Source organism: Homo sapiens, chromosome 12, assembly GCF_000001405.40.
Source record: "Homo sapiens chromosome 12, GRCh38.p14 Primary Assembly".
In the NCBI taxonomy this organism is placed as follows: domain Eukaryota; kingdom Metazoa; phylum Chordata; class Mammalia; order Primates; family Hominidae; genus Homo; species Homo sapiens.
The window spans coordinates 31,487,484-31,507,602 of NC_000012.12; the positions used below are offsets into that span (position 1 = coordinate 31,487,484).

At 39.7% G+C, this 20,119-nt stretch overlaps 1 protein-coding gene across 25 annotated transcripts in view; it reads right to left on the reverse strand.

Annotated features, from left to right (window-relative positions):
• Positions 1-20,119, reverse strand: part of DENND5B (DENN domain containing 5B) — a 208,911-nt gene that overhangs the window by 105,258 nt on the left and 83,534 nt on the right. For 9 of the 25 annotated variants that reach the window (XM_047428427.1, XM_005253330.4, XM_047428428.1 and 6 more), the window contains 2 exons: positions 12,123-12,188; positions 8,327-8,436 (listed from right to left, as the gene is read on the reverse strand). In XM_047428427.1, the coding sequence (XP_047284383.1) occupies positions 8,327-8,436; positions 12,123-12,188 (176 nt within the window). Of the gene's footprint in view, positions 1-8,326; positions 8,437-12,122; positions 12,189-12,909; positions 13,170-20,119 lie in introns of those variants that run through there. The other 16 variants (NM_001308339.2, XM_017018899.2, XM_047428422.1 and 13 more) reach the window with 2 other exon arrangements.

Consider the following 20,119-nt stretch of genomic DNA (forward strand, 5'->3'; position numbering starts at 1 on the left):
GCTCAGGAGTTCAAGACCACCAGCCTGGGCAACATGACGAAACCCTGCCTCTACTAAAAATACAAAAAATTAGCCGGGCGTGGTGGGACACACCTGTAGCCCCAGCTACCTGGAAGGCTGAGGCACGAGAATCGCATGAATCCGGGAGGCAGAGGTTGCAGTGAGCCAAGACTGCACCACTGCACTCCAGCCTAGAAGACAGAGTGAGACTGTCTCAAAAAAACAAACAAACAAAAACAACAAAAAACCCTAAAAACCCAAAAACTTCATTTGACACATTTATTGTAGTCAATAAAGATTGTAGAAGGGATAATTTGAATTATTCTTGCTCCAGGCTAAACTCAAACTTGTTTAGCACAGTGCATGGCATATAACAATTGGTTGAATGAATAAATGAATGAACAAGAAAACAAACAAAAACAGCTGGGGGTAAAGCACCAGGCTTAGTTCACCTCTTGATCTGGTCTGTAATTCTTTTTTTGTCTTTTTGGAGACGGAATCTCACTCTGTCGCCCAGTCTGGTATGCAGTGGTGTGATGTCAGCTTACTGCAACCTCCACCTCCTGAGTTCAAGCAATTCTCCTGCCTCAGCCTCCCAAGTAGCTGGGATTACAAGTGTGTGCGATTATAGGCGTGCATACCCGGCTATTTTTTTTTTTTTTTTGTACTTTTAGTAGAGACGAGGTTTCACCATGTTGGCCAGGCTGGTCTTGAACTTCTGGTCTCAAGTGATCCACTCGCCTCAGCTTCCCAAAGTGCTGGGATTACAGTGTGAGCCACAGTGCCTGGACTTCAGCTTGTAATTCTTTTTCCATCAAGTAGGCAATACAGAAACATAGTGACCACCAAAGTCAACATAAAGATTTAATTTAATTGATAGGCGTTCCTGTCATCCTAAATCACAAAATCATAGCTCAACTGCTGTTGAACAGCTGCCAAATATTCCCTTAAGGGTTTGTAGCTTTCTTGAGCGCACATTCAAACATTTACAGAAAAAGCTTGCCAAAAGTTGTACTCAAAGTGAAGAATGGCTTTCTATGCTACAGACAACAGATGTAAGAATTTTTCCTAAATGCTCTTCCAACAAATCAAAAAAAGTAAGAACTATATATCTAATCGGGAAACATGAACTGCAAAATGCTATTATTTTTCCATTTTTAAAAGATATACAGTACTGTTTTATATCAGGAACTACAAGATACTTTCTCAGAAAACCTGAGTTTCATCAGAATTGTTAAACTGTCAGGAACTACAAGAAATCTCAGAAAACCTGAAATATAAATCAAGATTTGTTTATCACGGTATTAAACATTTCTAATTAACCCTTAACTTTGCTATCTACTAACAATACCCCCTCACCATCCCACAATAAAACAACTAAAAATTAGAGGTGTCACTGATGATCAGACTACTACTAGTAACCAGATTACTTTAGCCAAAGCAGGCTTATAATGACAAGTGTGTAACTTTCCCAGTTTGAGTCAGCAAATGTTCTTATATTTCTCTAGACCGTTTCAGGCAGTTTGGCTAGAATTTTAAAATTCCTTTTTCCACATCTTGTAGTTCTATGACTTCCATGGCCTCTCCCTCATTATGCAAATACAATCATATACTGTATAACCACACTCTGGTCAACAATGGACTGCCTATAGGACAACGGCTGGAGCAATACGTTATACCATATAACTTAGAAGTATAGTAGGCTATATCACCTAGGTCTGTGTATGTGTATATACACTCTATGATGTTTGCACAATAAAATCACCTAACAACACATTTCTCAGAATGTCTCCCTCCCTCCCTCCCCTCTTCTCTCCCTCCTTCCATAAACACTTATTTTGTCCCATGTTTTGCATTAGATCTTGGTAACTCAAAAGACAAAGATAAAAATAATCCTTTCCTTTAGGGAGTTCACAGTCTAGTAGGAAAGACAGACACAGAAACCAGCAGTTACCAAAAAAATGTGATCAGTGTTGCTACGGACTCTGTTCGAGATATCATAAGAAAAGACAGAGTAACTACTCCTGCTTAAGAGATGGTTTTGCAGTGGAGGTCACACCTAGTCAAGGACAGGGAAGAGAAGTATTGTAAGCAAGTATCACTTCATTTATTCAACAATTTGAACATCTACTATGCGCAAAGCTAGGGATATAACAATGAATAAGAGACACTGCTCCTGTTCTCATGGTGCTTACATTAAGCACGAGATACACAGTTGACTACTAGCTAAGTAATTGGTTAACTGCAACTGAGATAGGTGCTACAAAAAGGTATACAAGGTACTAAGAGAACCTAAGGTGACCTGAGTGCTGGGAAGACGGTGGAAGGTGATGGTCAGGAGCAGCTTCTCTATATAAATGTTTACAGTGAAGTCTGAAGGAATAGTAAGAATTCACTAGGTGAAGGAGAGGTGGAAGAGCCTTCCAGAGAGAAGGAACAGCAGAAGCAGAAGCTATAGTATGAGGAATGAAATGGACAGGTTACTGCAGGAGTCCAGGTAAGAGATCTTGATGGTTTGGACCAAGGTGAGTATACGGAACAGAGAGAAGTAGACAGATAACTGATTATATATGGGAGAGGGTGAGTAAGTGAGAACTTTCAGGGTGATGTGTACATTGTTGGACTTGGCAAGTAGGTGGATGGTTGTACCATTCACTGACAAAAGACTGGTGGGACGAATAATGAATTCAGTTTTGGATATGTTGCATTTGAGATGCCAGTGAAATATTCTAGCTGCAATGTTAAGGAAACGGGCGAGAGGATGGGGGTGGCGGGGGCAAAAGGGTCTTCCAGCAATGGTCCTCCAGCAATGAAAGCCCCATTCCTATAATTTTACTGTGAGATATGGCTAGGCATCGTGGATCACACCTGTAATCCTAGCACTCTGAGAGGCCGAGGTGGGCAGATTGCTTGAGTCCAGGAGTTCGAGAGTAGCCTAAGCAACATAGCCAAACCCCGTCTCCTCAAAAAGTACAAAAATTAGCCAGGCGTGGTGGTGCACACCTGTAGTCTCAGCTACTTGGGGGGCTGAGGTGGAGGATCGCTAGAGCATGGGAGGTCAAGGCTGCAGTGAGCCAAGATTGCACCAGTGCACTCCAGTCTGGATGACAGAGTCAGAACCTGTCTCAAGAAAAAAAAAAAATTTTATTGTGAGCTTGAACCTAAACTTGGCTCAAAATGAGGGCTTATCTTCATTCTAATGTCAAACCTATGAATGTAATTTGGGATTATCCATTTCAAATTCAAGTAATTGCTAAGTCTACAAAAAGTATATATAGCCCTTTTTCCTTTTACTCTTACAAGATAAGCATCTGAATAGGTTTCTTCAGCCAACCTTTCACCGTTTACTCTTTGCTCTTCATTCCACTATATCCTTCTTTGTAATCAAAGTTAACAGCAAATTATAAAGTAAGAGCTTTATAATAGTTATTACTCTTTTGTTACCTAAAATATATTTATGATGTTTCATTAGGACAGACATAAAAAATAGAATCCTTATATTTTCATACAGTTTGCTTAAAAGTTATTGACCATGTTTTCTTCCTATGAATTCTTAGGTACAACACAGGCTTAAAGATAAGATCTATCAACTAGAATATTACATAGTCATGGATGCCAATAAGCAGATTACCTCAAAGAGATGTGAAAGTGGGGTGGGGGACCTTCAGCTCTGTTTGCAATGCTTTATTTCATTTAAAATGAAATGCAGACCAGGCACAGTGGCTCACAGAGGTCGAGGCGGGCAGATCACTTGAGGCCAGGAGTTTGAGACCAGCCTGGCCAACATAGGGAGACCCCGTCTCTACCATAAATACAAAAATTAGCCAGGCGTGATGGTGCGCGACTATAATCCCAGCTACTCAAGAGGCTGAAGCATGAGAATCACTTGAACACCGGAGGCAGAGGTTGTAAGTAAGCCAAGATTGCACCACTGAACTGCCAGGGTGACAGAGTGAGACTGTCTCAAATAAATTAATTAATTTAATTAAATGTACTGCACTCCAATCTGGGAGACAGAGTGAGACTGTGGAAACAAGGGAAAGAAAGAAAAGAAAGCAAAGAAAGGGAGGAAGGGAAAGGGAAAGGAAAGGAAATGTAGAGCTCTGAAGCAAACATGTCAATGTTGACATATGTTAGTTCTAGGTGATTAATACATACATTGACTGTTTATTGTATTGTTCTTTCTGTTCTGTGATATTTACTTTTTTTCATAAAAATCTCTGATCAGCAACTGAGGAAAAAAAACTAATTCAGGAATTATTTCACCTGTCACTTGTATTTATTTTCTATTTTATTTGCACTGTACTCATACACATTAAACATTTTATTTAACAAAGTTCACTGCTTTGGGTACTTAATTTATGTATGAAATTAATGACCTTTTATTCAAAGCACTACTGTTGTTAGAGGAATGACTAATATTACAGAAGGTGATGACTCACTGCGGTGGAATTTTGCTAAAGGCAAGACAAAGCTTTATATCTTTAGGTGGGAATAAATTACAGCTTCATACAAACGCACTTACTAGTAAATCAAAGAGGAAATTAAAGGCAGTAAATCTGTGACCCGAATGCAAACTACTTTAATGGGATGCTTTTCAGAGATTTTCCAGGAGTACAAGCAAATCCTTTTAGATTTGCAGCAATAAAAAAAATGCTATGTGGTGCTTAACCATCAAAACACAGCCTTTGCGATTATTCTTCAGGGGGAAACTTTTGCTGCTTACATAAAATAACCTCAGGGGCAAGGAGTAAAGAAAATATCAAAGATCAAGGAAGCTGATAATTACTTTAAAGATTAATGTTTTGCAGATAGAGGCAAAAGCTATCATGGATATCTCACTATTAATTCATTCAAATGATTAAAAGAAAGAAAACACATGAAGGGTGGCATTTTGTTCCAAATGACTGTGGATTCATATAGTAAGAACGTACTTGTACCCAGGCCCCAGTGATCCTCCCACCTCAGCCTCCAGAGTAGCTGGGACCACAGGCATGGTGCCACCACACCCAGCTATTTCTTTTTTAATTTGTAGAGACAGGGCCTCCCTATGTTGCTTAGGCTAGAACCTCACTTTGAATACCATTCTGATTTCTCACAGAATAAGTTATATTTTGAAATATCTTACTAATTTAAGAAGATTAAGTATTGTGATCTATTCATATTCTTATCCAGTTTTCCACTGCTTGATTTAAACACTCTTTTCCTAAATGCCTTTCTATTAATTTGCTGCATAAGCAGCTCATAAGTTATTTTTTTGTCACTGCTGTTCAACTATTTTAGTCAGATGCTTGTCTGGACTCTTCCAAGTCTTATAAAGATAACTAACAGTTGTGTTCTACATAATATCTATAGTAGAGTCTTCACCAAAGATGACGCTAGGCATCTACAATATTAACTTCCAGCAAAATGGCATCTCTGATTATTTTAGTATTGTATAACAGTTTAGGAAAATAACCACATTGTACTCTGTAAGGAATCAAAGTCAAAGTGCCAAGTGCTTTAGGCATTTGTCCTTACAAATAGCACCATGCTATCCCCTCCCTAGAGCGAGCCCAGGCTGGAAAGAGTTTACTGTGATACAAAAATATCACAAAGGGTCCAGTGTGACCCATAACATTTCCAGTGTAGATCAAAACTCAGTTACACAGTTTTTCTTTTGGGAAGGCAGCAAGGCAGTTGAGAAAAAAAGTGAGCTAGAGAGTAAAAATGATCTGGATTTAATTTCTGAGTCTTACTGCCTAACTTTGGGCAAATTACTTAACCTTTGAAAATATAAGAATTCTCACTGGGTACATGTAAACATGTATGTGAAAATAACATACATAAAGTACTCTAGCAGGCATCTAGTGAATATTAATTTCCTTCTGTTAGATTATCAGGTTATAATGGAGTCTTTTAACAATATCTTTAAAATACTAAAAAAGAGGCCGGGTGCAGTGGCTAACGCCTGTAATCCCAGCACTTTGGGAGGCTGAGGCGGGTGGATCACTAGAGGTCAGGAGTACAAGACCAGCCTGGCCAACATAGCAAAACCCCATCTCTACTAAAAATGCAAAAATGAGCCAGGTGTGGTGGGATGTGCTCATAATACCAGCATTCTGGGAGGCTGAAGGAGGGCAGATCACTTGAGGTCAGGAGTTCAACACCAGCCTGGCCAATATGGTGAAACCCTGTCTCTACTAAAAATACAAAAGATTAGCTGGGCATAGTGGTGTGCGCCTGTAATCTCAGCTACTCGGGAGGCTGAGGCAGGAGGATTGCCTGAACCCAGGAGGTGGAGGTTGCAGTGAGCCAAGATTGTGCCACTGCACTCCAGCCTGGGTGACAGAGCGAGACTATCTCAAAAACAAAAACAAAAACCAAACAAAACAACTCAAAAATAGCAATGGCTATCACTGTGTCTCAGTTCACCTTTAATCATTTCTGTATCTTTTTTATTTTTTTCCCATTCTTACGTATATACCCAATTCATTTCTATATCTATCATGCCTGCTACCTCCTTACTTTGGGGCCCCCTGAATTATATAATCATAGAGTTTATGAACATCTCAAATATTATTCAGGCTTCTAAGAAGAGCCCTTCCTAAATAATCTGAAAACTATGACCTACTTTATTTCTAAGACCCTCTCAAGGTTGACTATCTCTCTATCTTCTATCTATCTATCTATCTATCTATCTATCTATCTATCTATCTATCCATCCATCCATCCATCCACCTACCTACCTACCTACCTCTACCTACCTACCTACCTACCTACCTACCTACCTATTTTGAGACAGGGTCTTGCTATGGTGCCCATTCTGGTCTCAAACTCCTGGGCTCAAGCAGTCACACTGCCTCAACCTCCTGAGTAGCTGGGCTTATAGATGCACAACATCATGCAGGGATAAAAGAGACATTTAATCAGCACTGGTAACTCATTATGAGGCAGGAGAACAGGGTCTGGAGGCAGGGAACCTAAGGCCGATTCATGCTGACTTTCTAGAACTAAATCAAAAGGAAAACCCCAACTTTCCATGCCCAAGTAGCAAAAGGACCAGTGGCTACTCCCTTTGTACCTTCCCCCTACCCTTTTTCTGCATGACAGACTAAAAACTGAAAGTACCTCTGATTGTTTCCTTCCCACAACCAATCAGGATGGTCGTGGGCCAAGTCTTCATTTGCATAGGAGTGTAACTTTGTAACTTCACTTCAGCCTCTGATTGGTTGTATGTTTGTGTAGGGTGTAACTTTGCTTCAGCTTCTGATTGATATCCTCCCACAACCAAACAGACTGATCGTGGGCCATTACTTCATTTACATAGAGTGTACACTAAGTAACCAATGGAAAACCTCTAGAGGGTATTTAAACCTCAGAAAATTCTATAATGGGCTCTTGAGCTGCTTGCTCGGGCCTGCTCCCACCCTGTGGATTGTACCTTCATTTTTAATAAATCTCTGCTTTTGTCGCTTCATTCTTTCCTTGCTTTGTTTGTATGTTTTGTCCAATTTTTTGTTCCAGACACCAAGAAGCTGGACTCCATCCACCGGTAACAATAATACAAATTCAGATTTCTACTGTACCTAAATAACGCAATTAAGTTGCTTTTCATCTTTACACTGTCTGTAAAAATGACAAATTATAGGCCTACCATACAATATTCCTTGAAACATGAGAACTGTAATCAGGCTCTTTCCATCAGGCTCCTCTCAGGCCAATAAAGTAATATCACTGTTTATCAAAGCTTCTACATATTAATACAAATGCACAACACAGTTTAATAGTAGGAAACTAAAATGGGCTTTTAGGATCTATTGTATAAACTTATTAACTATGGAAACCCTGGGCAAGTAACTTGCTTCTCTGAGCTTCTGCTTCCAGATCTTTAAAATGAGGAGAGTATCACATTTCTTTTTTTTTCTTTTTTTGAGACAGAGTCTCGCTCTGTTGCCCAGGCTGGAGTGCAGTGGCGTGATCACGGCTCACCACAACCTCCGCCTCCTGGGTTCAAGTGATTCTCCTGCCTCAGCCTCCCGAGTAGCTGGGATTACAGGCATGTGCCACCACACCTGGCCAATTTTTGTATTTTTAGTAGAGACGGGGTTTCACTATGTTGGTCAGGCTGGTCTTAAACTGACCTCAGGTGATCCACCTGCCTCGGCCTCCCAAAGTGCTGGGATTACAGGTGTGAGCCACCACACCCGGCCTCACATTTCTTATAAAATCACTTAAAGAATAAATGAAATGAAATAAGGTAGACATTCAAAATACAGTCACTACCTTCATATTAATAAAGTGAAAACAAGGCTAAAGAGTAAATGAGGGGAAAAAAAACACATACCATGTTCACCGCATCTTGATCAAAAGGGTTCCATTCTATATTCTGAGGATAGTGGGCGAGAACTTTGGATTTGAATGTTCTTCTCAAAGGACTCTGGTCAAAATTTTCGCCTACAACAAATAATACATAGTTAATATCTAGAACTTTTCCAAAAGCATGTCATAGTTTTCTATTTATTTTATAGTCCTACTACTGACTGATAATGTTGAGATCTGATTCAATTTCTGCCTCTAACCATCTGTATTGTAAAATCCCGATGGACAACTAAAAAACTGTTAACAACAGAGCAGCATTTAAAACTTCAGAATCTGAATTTTAAAATCCTGGCTACTCAACTGATACTAAAAATCAAAATATGGTAATATAATCATTGCTGTAACCTAATTATGGTCCACATTTCAGTGTGTGGTAATAATAAACTATATGAAAACATTTACTTCAGAAAAGAAAAGTCTTACATTAAGCTAATCATATGTCTTATGATCCTAAAATTTTATACACACTTAGACCCCCATGCTACAGTGCTCAAAGGAAGCAATTTTGCTTGAGTTTCCACAAAAATCTCTGAGAAATGTGATTGCATATCCAGGTTCTCCAGTAACAAAATTAACAGAATTAGAAACATCATTGCTGAGTCATCCTGTTTAGTAGACAGAACACATTAAACATACTAACCTTTTAAAATAAATGAGCTATCCTAAGTTAAATTCATTATCTGGCAAAATTCTGGAAACATAAAAGTAGGCTACATTTTAATTACTAAGAAAATTCAGGCCAGGCACAGTAGCTCATGCCTGTAATCCCAGAACTTTGGGAGGCTGAGGTAGGAGGATTGCTTGAGCCCAGGAATTTGAAACCAGCCTGGGCAACATGGTGAGACCCCGTTTCTTTTCTTCCTATTTTTTTTTTAATAAATTTTTTAAAAAGTAAAACATTGAAAATTCAATAATAGCTATCAGATTAGTTTTTTTAACCTCCTCAACCAGAGTAATTCCCTTAAGACCTATTATCCCTAAATGTTTTAGTTTCATGAAATATTTTAAGGTAGACGGATCTTAAATTCCCAATGTCAAAAATTTGGGATCAAGGAACTAGAAGATCTTGCAACAATTTTATTGTGTTGTGTGTTTTCCTACTTTTAGAGTTCTAATTAAGTGCAAAATACTAGCTGTTACAGCAAAAGATAAATGTCACTTTACCAGTATTTATACTATTAAAAATATCACAAAGCAATTTGATTTATGAATTGTATTTGACTTCTAGTTAGACTCAGTTTCTATTTTGGGTAAAAATATGAAAAAAAAAAACCACCTTGGAATGCAAAACAGATCGCAGAAGGACGAAAAAGTCACACTCAAAAATCTTGCTGGAGACAACAATATAAAATACATAGGAATTTTTTTGAACAAGGACACATAATTTAAATACATTTGCTTAGGCAACTAAACTACTATTTCTAACTGAAGTCCTTGGCTAATGATCATTATTTTCTTTAGATTCCTCTGACTTATTTAGGCAAACATTTCATCTCTGTATTTTTCTACTCCATACTTCCATCTTCTAAGAGTTGAGAGCATTCATTTCTAGAAGAGAAATTGTCAGACATCCTTAAGGAGAGTTTATCAATTTTTGCACCAAGCTTCTAGAGTATGTAAGCATCAAAAAGTCAGCAGAGGAATGTGAAACTGTCCATGAGAGTCAATGTGGCTGAAGAACAGATTCAGGGCTCAGAACTGATTTCAGGAAGAGTCCATGATGTTTTTAAGCTGATGCTAGATTTTCCTGTGAACACTAAGAAATTGTAAATTATTCACTTCTTCATTTAAAAAAAAGTTACTTGGCCAGAATGTGGTGGCTCATGCCTGTAATCCCAGCACTTTGGGAGGCTGAGGTGGGCAGATCACTTGAGACCAGCAACATAGTGAAACCTCATCTCGAAAGAAAGGAAAGTAAGGGGGAGCGGCATGGGGAGGGTGGAGGGGGAGGGGCATGGGGAGGGGCAGCGGAGGGGGCAGGGAGGGGCAAGGGGAGGGGGCAGGGGGGGCAAGGGGAGGGGGAGGGGCAGTGGAGGGGGCAGGGAGGGGCAAGGGGAGGGGTAGGGGCAGGGGCAGGGGCAAGGGCAGGGGGAGGGGGCGGGGAGGAGAGGGGAGGGGAGGGAAGGGAAAGAAAGAGAGGAAAGAAAGGAAAAGAAAAGAAAGATAGATTGATTTTTTAGGTTACTTTTCATTTCACTTTAGAGAAAAAACAAAATTCCTCCCAGTTATAGTCTAAGCTGCTGATAGTGTACTGACACAGCAACAGCGTAACTTCATGATAGCCATCAAGAAACCCTCTCCTTCACCTACCCTCTAACACCAGAAATACTTGCTTTTATTATCCACAAATGTAAATAAAATATGAAACACTGCAGAAGCAGAAGAAACAAGACATAACCTATCATAAAACTCCTTGCAACACTTACCTTTTAATTCAGTCCTGCCTGTGTATAGTTAAAATAACATTATCTTCATTCATGTATCAAGTTATTAATGGGACAGGAGATATATCAGAAAGGTCATGAAAGTGCCATTCTCAATATAATTGTTCTGTTAACTAAGGAACATTGCACCTTCTTGACACACAAAGAATCAACAAGAAGGAAACCACCTCCAGAAAGAAATAATTTTACAAAAACAAAAAAAGCCACAAAACAGTAACAAATCTAACAAAAGAAAAGCAAAACCACCACCACCACTGCTTATTAGACTGCTTAAAAAAGGGGTAACAGGAAAGATCATTGCTATATATACACAGCTGTCTTGGCAAATATGATTTGGAAGGATATTAGGGGAAGAACTAACTATGTAGAAATTCTGATATCACTGTTAAGAATTCAGAAATGGGCCGGGCACTGTGGCTCATGCCTGTAATCCTAGCACTTTGGGAGGCTGAGGCAGGTGGATCACTTGAGGTCAGGAGTTCGAGACCAGCCTGGCGAACGTGCTGAAATCCTGTCTCTACTAAAAATACAAAACTTAGCCAAGCATGGTGGCATGCACGTGTAATCCCAGCTACTCAGGAGACTGAGGCAGGAGAATCAGTTGAACCCGGGAGGTGGGGGTTGCAGTGAGCCAAGATCACACCACCGCACTCTAGCCTGGGTGACAGAGTAAGGCTCCGTCTCAAAAAAAAAAAAAAAAAAGAGAATTTAGAAATGACTGGATGCAGCTATTCCTACTAGCACTGGCCAAAAGAAGAGAATCTTGGTGATGACTTTTGGGGATGAGAGATGGGGGAACAACCTATACTTCTCATTTTAAACACAAGTTTTACCTCTAACTTAGAATTTACTGCTGGGAAAAAAAAACAGGAAAATAACCAAGTCTAAGAATTTGGATTCCCAGGAAATGAAAAATTACATAAGCATCCTGTACTTAAAATTTACCTTTTAAATATTATCTTGAAACAAACAAGGACTATAAATTTGTACGACTGCTACAACTACATATCAACTTAACTCCAAGTAACACTGCCAAATAACCTCCTACTAAATTGAAGCTGCAATTAATCCTTTCCTCCTAAGAAAGTAGGAAATATCTGCCAAGAGAGCTTAAAGACTACTGAATACATGTTTTCAAGGCTTGAAGCAAATGAAGTCTTTATGAAAATTAAGATGCAGATGAGAGAAGAGAAACATAAAATAACATCTACAAGTCTGACCAAGCAAAACTGAATAAAGAAACATTTATAATGGGCTTGCAGTCAATTAAAATAATGATTTATAATAGCCCATCCTTGTTCTTAATTTTATTTTTACCTGAAGTCGTATTTGCAGCACCTTGGCTCTTGCCATGACGATCTGCTTCTAGCCATTGGTACAAAACTACATAATGTAACAGAAACAAAAAAGCTTTATGAACAAATAAAAACAAACAAAAAGCAAAAATGACTTTGAAGAATGGAAAATGAGAATAATTAACCAAAAGCAATCACACAGGAGACATTAACATTAGAATGTAGCTTAACACCAATGGAATGTAGCTGATAAGGGATTAGTAATGAAAGCAAAGAGAATAGGTAATTTTAACAAAATAAGTGAAATGCTATTAAATATCTCTAACAGGTTTTGTATGGGAAATAGCACACATATTCTCTTCTTAATGCTTACTTAAAGAGGAATATTAGGAGAAAGCTAATGCTTCTATAGTCAGATATCATACAAGTTGAGTATCCCTTATCCAAAATGCTTAGGACCAAGAAGGGTTTTGGATTTCTGACTGTTTCAGATTTTGAAATATTTGCATTATATTTACAGGTTGAGCATCCTTAATTAGAAAATTGGAATACTGGCACTCAAAAAGTTCAAATTTTGGAGCATTTTAGATCTCGGATTTTTGGATTAGGAATGCTCAACCTAAAAAGTATGACAGTAAGACTAAATGACCAACTTTAAAAATTAAAGAGCATCCCTAATTAGAAAATTAGAATACTGGCCTCAAAAAGTTTCAAATTTTGGAGTATTCTGGATCTCAGATTTTTGGATTAGGAATGCTCAACCTAAAAAGTATGACAGTAAGACTAAATGACCAACTTTAAAAAATTACATCCTGGCTGGGCATGTTGGCTCACAACTGTAATCTCAGCACTTCGGGAGGCCGAGGCAGGTGAATTGCTTGAGGTCAGGAGTTCGAGACCAGCCTGATCAACATGGTGAAACCTCATCTCTACTAAAAATACAAAAATTAGCTGGGCATGGTGGTGGGTGCCCATAATCCCAGTTACTCAGGAAGGCCAGGCAGGAGAATTACTGGAACCCAAGAGGTGGAGGTTGTAGTGATCTGAGATCATGCCACTGCACTTCAGCCTGGATGACAAAGTGAGACTGTCACAAAAAAAAAAAAAAAAAAAAAAAAAATTACATCCCAACCACTGCATATTGATTAGAATGGCTTAAGTCCCAAAAGCTGACTATACCAAATATTGACAAGGATAGGAAGTGACAGTAATTCTCATTCACTGCTGATGAGAATGCAAAATTGTACGGCCACTTTGGAAGAGAGTTTGGCAATTCCTTACAAGGTTAAACAGTCTTATCACAGAACCCCATAACTCCAGTCTAATCATAAGAAAAACATCAAATTCCAGGAGGAGTAACCTATAGTATATCTGATAAGTACTCATCAAAACTATCAAGGACAACAAAAACAATGAAAGTCTGAGATTCTGTCATAGCCAAAAGGAGCCTAAGTAGACATGACAACTTATGGGGATGGGATACCTCAACAGAAAAAAGACTGATATGGTTTGGCTATGTCCTCACCCAAATCTCACCTTGAATTGTAGTTCCCATAATCCCCACACACCGTGGGAGGGACCCAGTGAGAAGTAATTGAATTATGGGGTTGGTTACCTCCATGCTGTCCTTGGGATAGTGAGTTCTCACAAAATCTGATGGTTTTATAAGGGGCTTTCCCCCACTTCACTCTGCACTTCTCCTTGCTGCTGCCATATGAAGAAGGATGTGTTTACTTCCCCTTCCGCCACAATTGTAAGTTTCCTGAGGCCTCCCCAGCCCTATGGAACTGTGAGTCAATTCAACCTCTTTCCTTTATAAATTGCCCGGTCTCAAGTCTATCTTTATTAGCAGCATGAAAACAGACGAATACAAGAATATTAAGTAAAAACTAAAGAAATCTAAATAGAGGCCGGGCGCAGTGGCTCATGCCCGTAATCCCAATACTTTGGGAGGCCAAGGAAGGCGGATCACCTGAGGTCAGGAGTTTGAGACCAGCCTGGCCAACATGGCAAAACCCTGTCTCCACTAAAAATACAAAATTAACCAGGCATGGTGGTGCATGCCTGTAGTCCCAGCTACTTGGGAGGCTGAGGCAGAAGAATTGCCTGAACCCGGGAGGTGGAGGCTGCAGTGAGCTGAGAACGCGCCACTGCACTCCAGCCTGGGCAACAAGAGCAAAACTCCATCTCAAAAAAAAAAAAAAGAAAGAAAAAAGAAATCTAAATAGAGTGTAGACTTTAGTTAGCAATAATGTATCAATATTTATTCATTAATTATAACTAATGTACCATACTACGAGAGGTTAATGATAGGGGAAATTGTGTGTGTGGGGTGAGGCAAGTATATGGGAACTCCATTCTCAATTTTTCTGCAAATATAAAAACAACTTTATTTTAGAAATTACATTCCAGTATTTAAGGTAAAAACACCAGCAACATTATATTCAATCTTGCCGGGCGCAGTGGCTCACGCCTGTAATCCTAGCACTTTGGGAGGCGGAGGTGGGCGGATCACGAGGTCAGGAGTTCGAGACCAGCCTGGCCAATATGGTGAAACCCCATCTCTACTAAAAATACAAAAATTAGCCGGGTGTGGTGGCACACACCTGTAGTCCCAGCTACTTGGGAGGCTGAGGCAGAAGAATCCCTCAAACCCGGGAGGTGGAGGTTGCAGTGAGCCAAGATCACGCCACTGCACTCCAGCCTGGGTGACAGAGCAAAGCTGTCTCAAAAACAAAAACAAAAACAAAAAAAACATTATATTCAATCTTATAAGTAATCTACCTTTTATAAATCATGTTTATCAATGCAAACATAAGCTGAAATTTGCTTTATACTGATATCCCATTTCGTCAATAATATTCCTAAGCATAATTATAAAGTGTCAACTCTTGGAGGAAAGTTTACTACTGTAACGACACAGGCTATAACTTAGCAGCTTTGAAGAGTGTAAAAACTTCTGAATGTCTTTTATTGGTTACTCAGATGTCTAAAACTCAGATATCTTTAAAGAGATGTCAGAGTCTTTCTTTTAAATAGTCAATAATGATAATGTAGGGTACCAATGGCCAAGAGAGCTTGCTATCCACACCCCCAACGTTTGATGATCCAAGGACAGCAACAAATATTAAGCTTCTACGCTGGGGGGCTACTTACCCACAGATACTGTGAGAACTGAATATCCCAAACAAGGTTTACAGAAACCTTTCATACTCTCTCCTCAACAAAAACAACAAAGGGCTGAGAAAGCTGCCTACAGAACTGAACTAGAGTAATAAAGGAATCGGTTTATTACAAATATCTAAGAGAACCCTGAAATCATCAAAGTGGTTACTTAGATCTCTGAGGAACAGCCAGGGCTGTGAACTGACATCCATGGTCATGGATAGATAGCTGAAAGACCTCTGAGCAAACATCCAAGTCCTTGGTTAAGGGTGCCACAGAGGGCACAGAAGTCAGCACCCTCCTCCAGAAACACACTTCTGGGAGGGAAACAATTGTTACATATGGGACTAGCATGAAAGAATTCAAGAAGGAGACCTCAATAATTAAATATATACTACAGGTATTTCTCTTCCCTTTAGTTTACAGGGATAACAGCTACTCATGAGAGGAGGAGAGAGGGGAATTACACTATGACACAAAAATCTCCCCGTTAGGAAAAGCAAGCATGAGCTTTACAATTGACAATGAAGGCTGGGTGCAGTGGCTCATGCCTGTAATCCTAGCACTTTGGGAGGTGGAGGTGGGCAGATCGCTTGAGTTCAGGAGCTTGAGACCAGCCTAGGCAACATGGTAAAACCCTGTCTCTACAAAAAATATAAAAATTAGCTGGGCGTGGTGGCAGGTGCTTGTAGTCCCAGCTACTCAGGAGGCTGAGGTGGGAGGATGGCTTGAACCCAGGAGGTGGAGGTTGCAACGAGCTGTGATCCATTCCAGCCTGGGCAACAGGGCCAAACTCTGTGTCTAAACAAACAATTGACACTGAAAATCACTTCCACAAAATGAGATGCAAAGTAGGGAAACAAATCCATTAACTGGTCTAACAATTTTGCCCAGCTCCTATCTTAAGCCTGTATTTTCCCCTGATTAAGGCAGAAACTCTTGGCTATGTTCAGGTTATCACTAGGAATATTTACCAATAGTTCCAATTACTTCACATAGTCCTCGTTTCCGGTTTTATCAGAGAGGTTTATCATGTTTGATTTCATGTCTCACTGATAAAATCATAGTCTGTTTCTGACCAGAGACTTTCTCCAGAAAACAAAGCTAAGTCTCACACTATTTCCCTCTCTTCCTGTCCTGACAGGTAACCCCAGAAGCCTAGTTTTAAACAAAATCATTAATAAAATGAGACATGAAAGCTATTCCAGGTCAATTTAACCAGTTATATAGAGAACTACACATAAGCAAAAATCATTTTAATAGATTTACATATTCAAATATTTCATCCTTGCCTCTAGATTACCAAAGTCCAATTAACTTCAGTTTAAATAATTCAGAGAATTTCCAGTGAAATAAGTACATCTGATTCAAGTGCGCTATAACGTAAATCACCATTTATATAAAGTTTGGACTTTAAAGTCTACTTTATAGGACATATATTTAAACAGATAATGTATAATTTAAAAAGAAGTGTGACTAATTTTTTAACTTAACATACTAGAATGTACATGGGCAGCTCTGGAAATACTGAACTCCTAAAATTTCTCAATCTCCATAAAATACATGAAATATAGCACAAAAGTTCTGCTACTATGAATGTAGATGATGTTAGAATGCCAAGAACACATCTCTCTTCACCAAAGGAATATGAGATCTGGCCTTCTGGTTGCTTCACGCTTCCTCTCAGTTGGCAGTGGAAATAGGGACCCCATCCCCAGCTCAAAGTTACTGGTAGAGATTTCTATAGCATGCTTGTGGGGTTGCAAATGAAGAGGAATATTTGAGATTTATGAACCTTGGGGGCTGTTTTTCAGCCTGATCATCATGGTTAAATATTTCTTCACTCACTCTCCTCCCTAAACCTTCCCACTAGGAGGGCCCCAGTAAGTTACCTCCTGCACTATCCACTTCCATCATAGCCTGTTTGTGACCAGAGACTTTCTCCACAAAACAAAGCTAAGTCTCACACTATTTCCCTCTCTTCCTGCCCTGACAGATAACCCCAGGAGCCTAGAAGTTTTAAAGAAAATCTGCTTCTGGGTGGGGGTCAAACGATTAGTTCTTGCCAATGATATGTGGGCAGCAATGACGTCATTTCCGGGTCAAGGCACACAATCTATCTTTCCTCTGCCATCTATCAGCTAAATGCAAAGGAGGCCTTAAAAGATGGACAGTTCTCAAAGTGGAAGAAAGTTGAGTCACTAAATATCTTTGTGAAGTAGAGTGCCTCCCACCTTGGCCTACATTACACTAAACGTGAATGAGAAAAACTTTTATTGTCTCATGCCACTGAAGTATTATGGGGTTGTTATTACAGCAGTTAGCTATTCATGTGTTTACTAGCCTGAGTTTTTATTTGTGTTCGTTTTGACTTTCTGACTATAATACTAACCCCTGACTATATCGTACCTTCTATTGGTAACTGTCTACATTGCTTGTTACATGTTTAAATACACGAGTACAGTTCTCCAAGTATAAGACAGAATTTGCCTTTTTTTTTTTTTTTTTGAGACAGAGTCTTACTCTGTCACCCAGGCTAGAGTGTGACGTTGAGATCTTGGCTCACTGCAACCTCTGCCTCCTGGGTTCAAGCAATTCTCCTGCCTCAGCCTCCCAAGTAGCTGGGACTACAGGTGTGCTACCATGCCCAGCTAATTTTTGTAGTTTTAGTAGAGACAGGATTTCATTATTTTGGCCAGGCTGGTCTCAAACTCCTGACCTCAGATGATCTGCCCGCTTCAGCCTCCCAAGTGCTGGGATTACAGGCATAAGCCACCATGCCCAGGCCAGAATTTGCCCATTTTTAATGCATGTTCTCCACCTTTCATAGAAAAAGCCATATATCCTACTAAGCTATTTATGAAGACCACAGGTTCTAGCCCATGACAAGCTTGTTATCCTTTCTAAACACACAACCCCCAAATCTAGTCAGCAAACTTGAAGGTCTAGGGTGATGGTCATGAAAGGAATCAAACAAAAGAATCTTGGAGGGGTCTCTGCAAATTCATCGACTCCATTAAGGAATATTCAACAACACAGAAACTTAAATCCAGGTAATATTAAAGTTTATTTTAATTAATTAATTAATTAATTGTTTTTTTGAGACAGAGTCTCACTCTGTTGTTGTCCAGGCTGGAGTTCAGTGGCACGATCATGGCTTACTGCTGCCTGGACCTCCCAGGCTCAAGTGATCCTCTCACCTCAGCCTCCCACATGGCTAAGACTACAGGCATATACTCTCATGCCTGGCTAATTTTTAAAACATTTTTGTAGAGGCAGGGTTTCGCCACACTGCCCATGGTCTTGAACCCCTGGGCTCAAGTGATCTGCCCGCCTCAGCCTCCCAAAGTGCTGGAATTACAGGCATGAGCCACCTTGCCTAGACTTAGTTAAGATTTTAGTAAGAGTACATCAACATCAATCCAGTAAGCTTTGAGTTTTTAAGAGATTCACAATATCTTTCCTCTTGATTACATCAAAATTAAAGAGCCATGTTATATTTACCTAACACTAAATATAGTTTCTCTTTTTAATTTATTATTTATTTATTTTTTTAAAGGCCAGTCAAGTGAAGCAGTGGGAGTGGAGAAGGAACAAAGAAATCTGTAACTGATTGTAATGAATTAGTTATCAACACCACTGCACTCGGACCTGCCTAAATACACTTGCAATTACTAAAATTTATTCACTGAAAACCAAAATTTCACAACACAGTTATTCTGTTTCAATCTCAACTGAGTGTACTGCAATCCGATTCTCTCATCAGCCACCCAAAGTTAGCACAGACCCCACAAGTAAAAGGGTACGCTCCCAAATAGGCGTGCCCTTATTTCAGACACCAGCCACACTTTGGAAGTCCCAGGCTACCTGCACTTCTAACAGACTGGCTATAAATTTGAGAGTTTCCACAAGTCCCTCAGGTACACTAAATTCACTAGAGCTTGCAGGACTCAGGAAAGTGATGTATTTACAATTACAGTTTTCTTACAAAGGACACAAATCAGGATGACCAATCAAATGAAGAGATATATAGGGTAAGATCAAGGAGAGAATGCAGAGTTTCCATGCCTTCTTCTTGTGGAAAAAGGGCATGTCACCTACTTTCCCCTGCGCATACATCAGTGTTTTCACCAACCAGGAAGTTCCACTAAATCTCAGTGTCCAGAGTTTTTACTGGCTTTACTACATATGCACAACTGATTAAATCATTGGCTACAAGACTAAGCTGAATCTCCAACTCCTTTCCCTCTCCAGAGGCCAGGTTGGTTCAGAGTCCCAACCACATAGTTGGTCCTTCCAGAGACAGCGCCTATCCTGAAGCTATCCAGAGGCCCATCATTAGTTACCTGATTAGCATAACATTCCCGTCGTCACTCAGGAAATTCCAAGGGTTTGAGAAGTTCAGGAAACACAGACAAAGACCAGACAAATTCCTTTTTTTTTTTTAGAGACAGGCTGCAGAGCAGTAGTGCGATCATAGCTCAGCAGCCTCAAACTCCCGCCTCAGCCTTCCTTGTAGCTAGGACTACAGGTGCACGCCACCATGCCCAGATGAGTTTTTATTTCTATTTTTCATGGAAACAAAAAAATAAAAATGTTTCTTGGCCTCAAACTCTTGGCCTCAAGTGATCCTGCCTGGGCCTCCCAAAGCACTGGCATTAAAATCATTTGCCACTGCACCTGGCCAAATTATTATACGACAGTTTTAGGTGCTGTGCAGCTTACCACCAATCAAAGAACACAACAGCAGATTATTTACTTGCAAAAATAACCTTAGCAATGAATTCAAGATCTAGAGTTCTCTGATAATAAGGAATAAACAAAGTTTTTGATCCTAGCCCATGTTTGTCATAC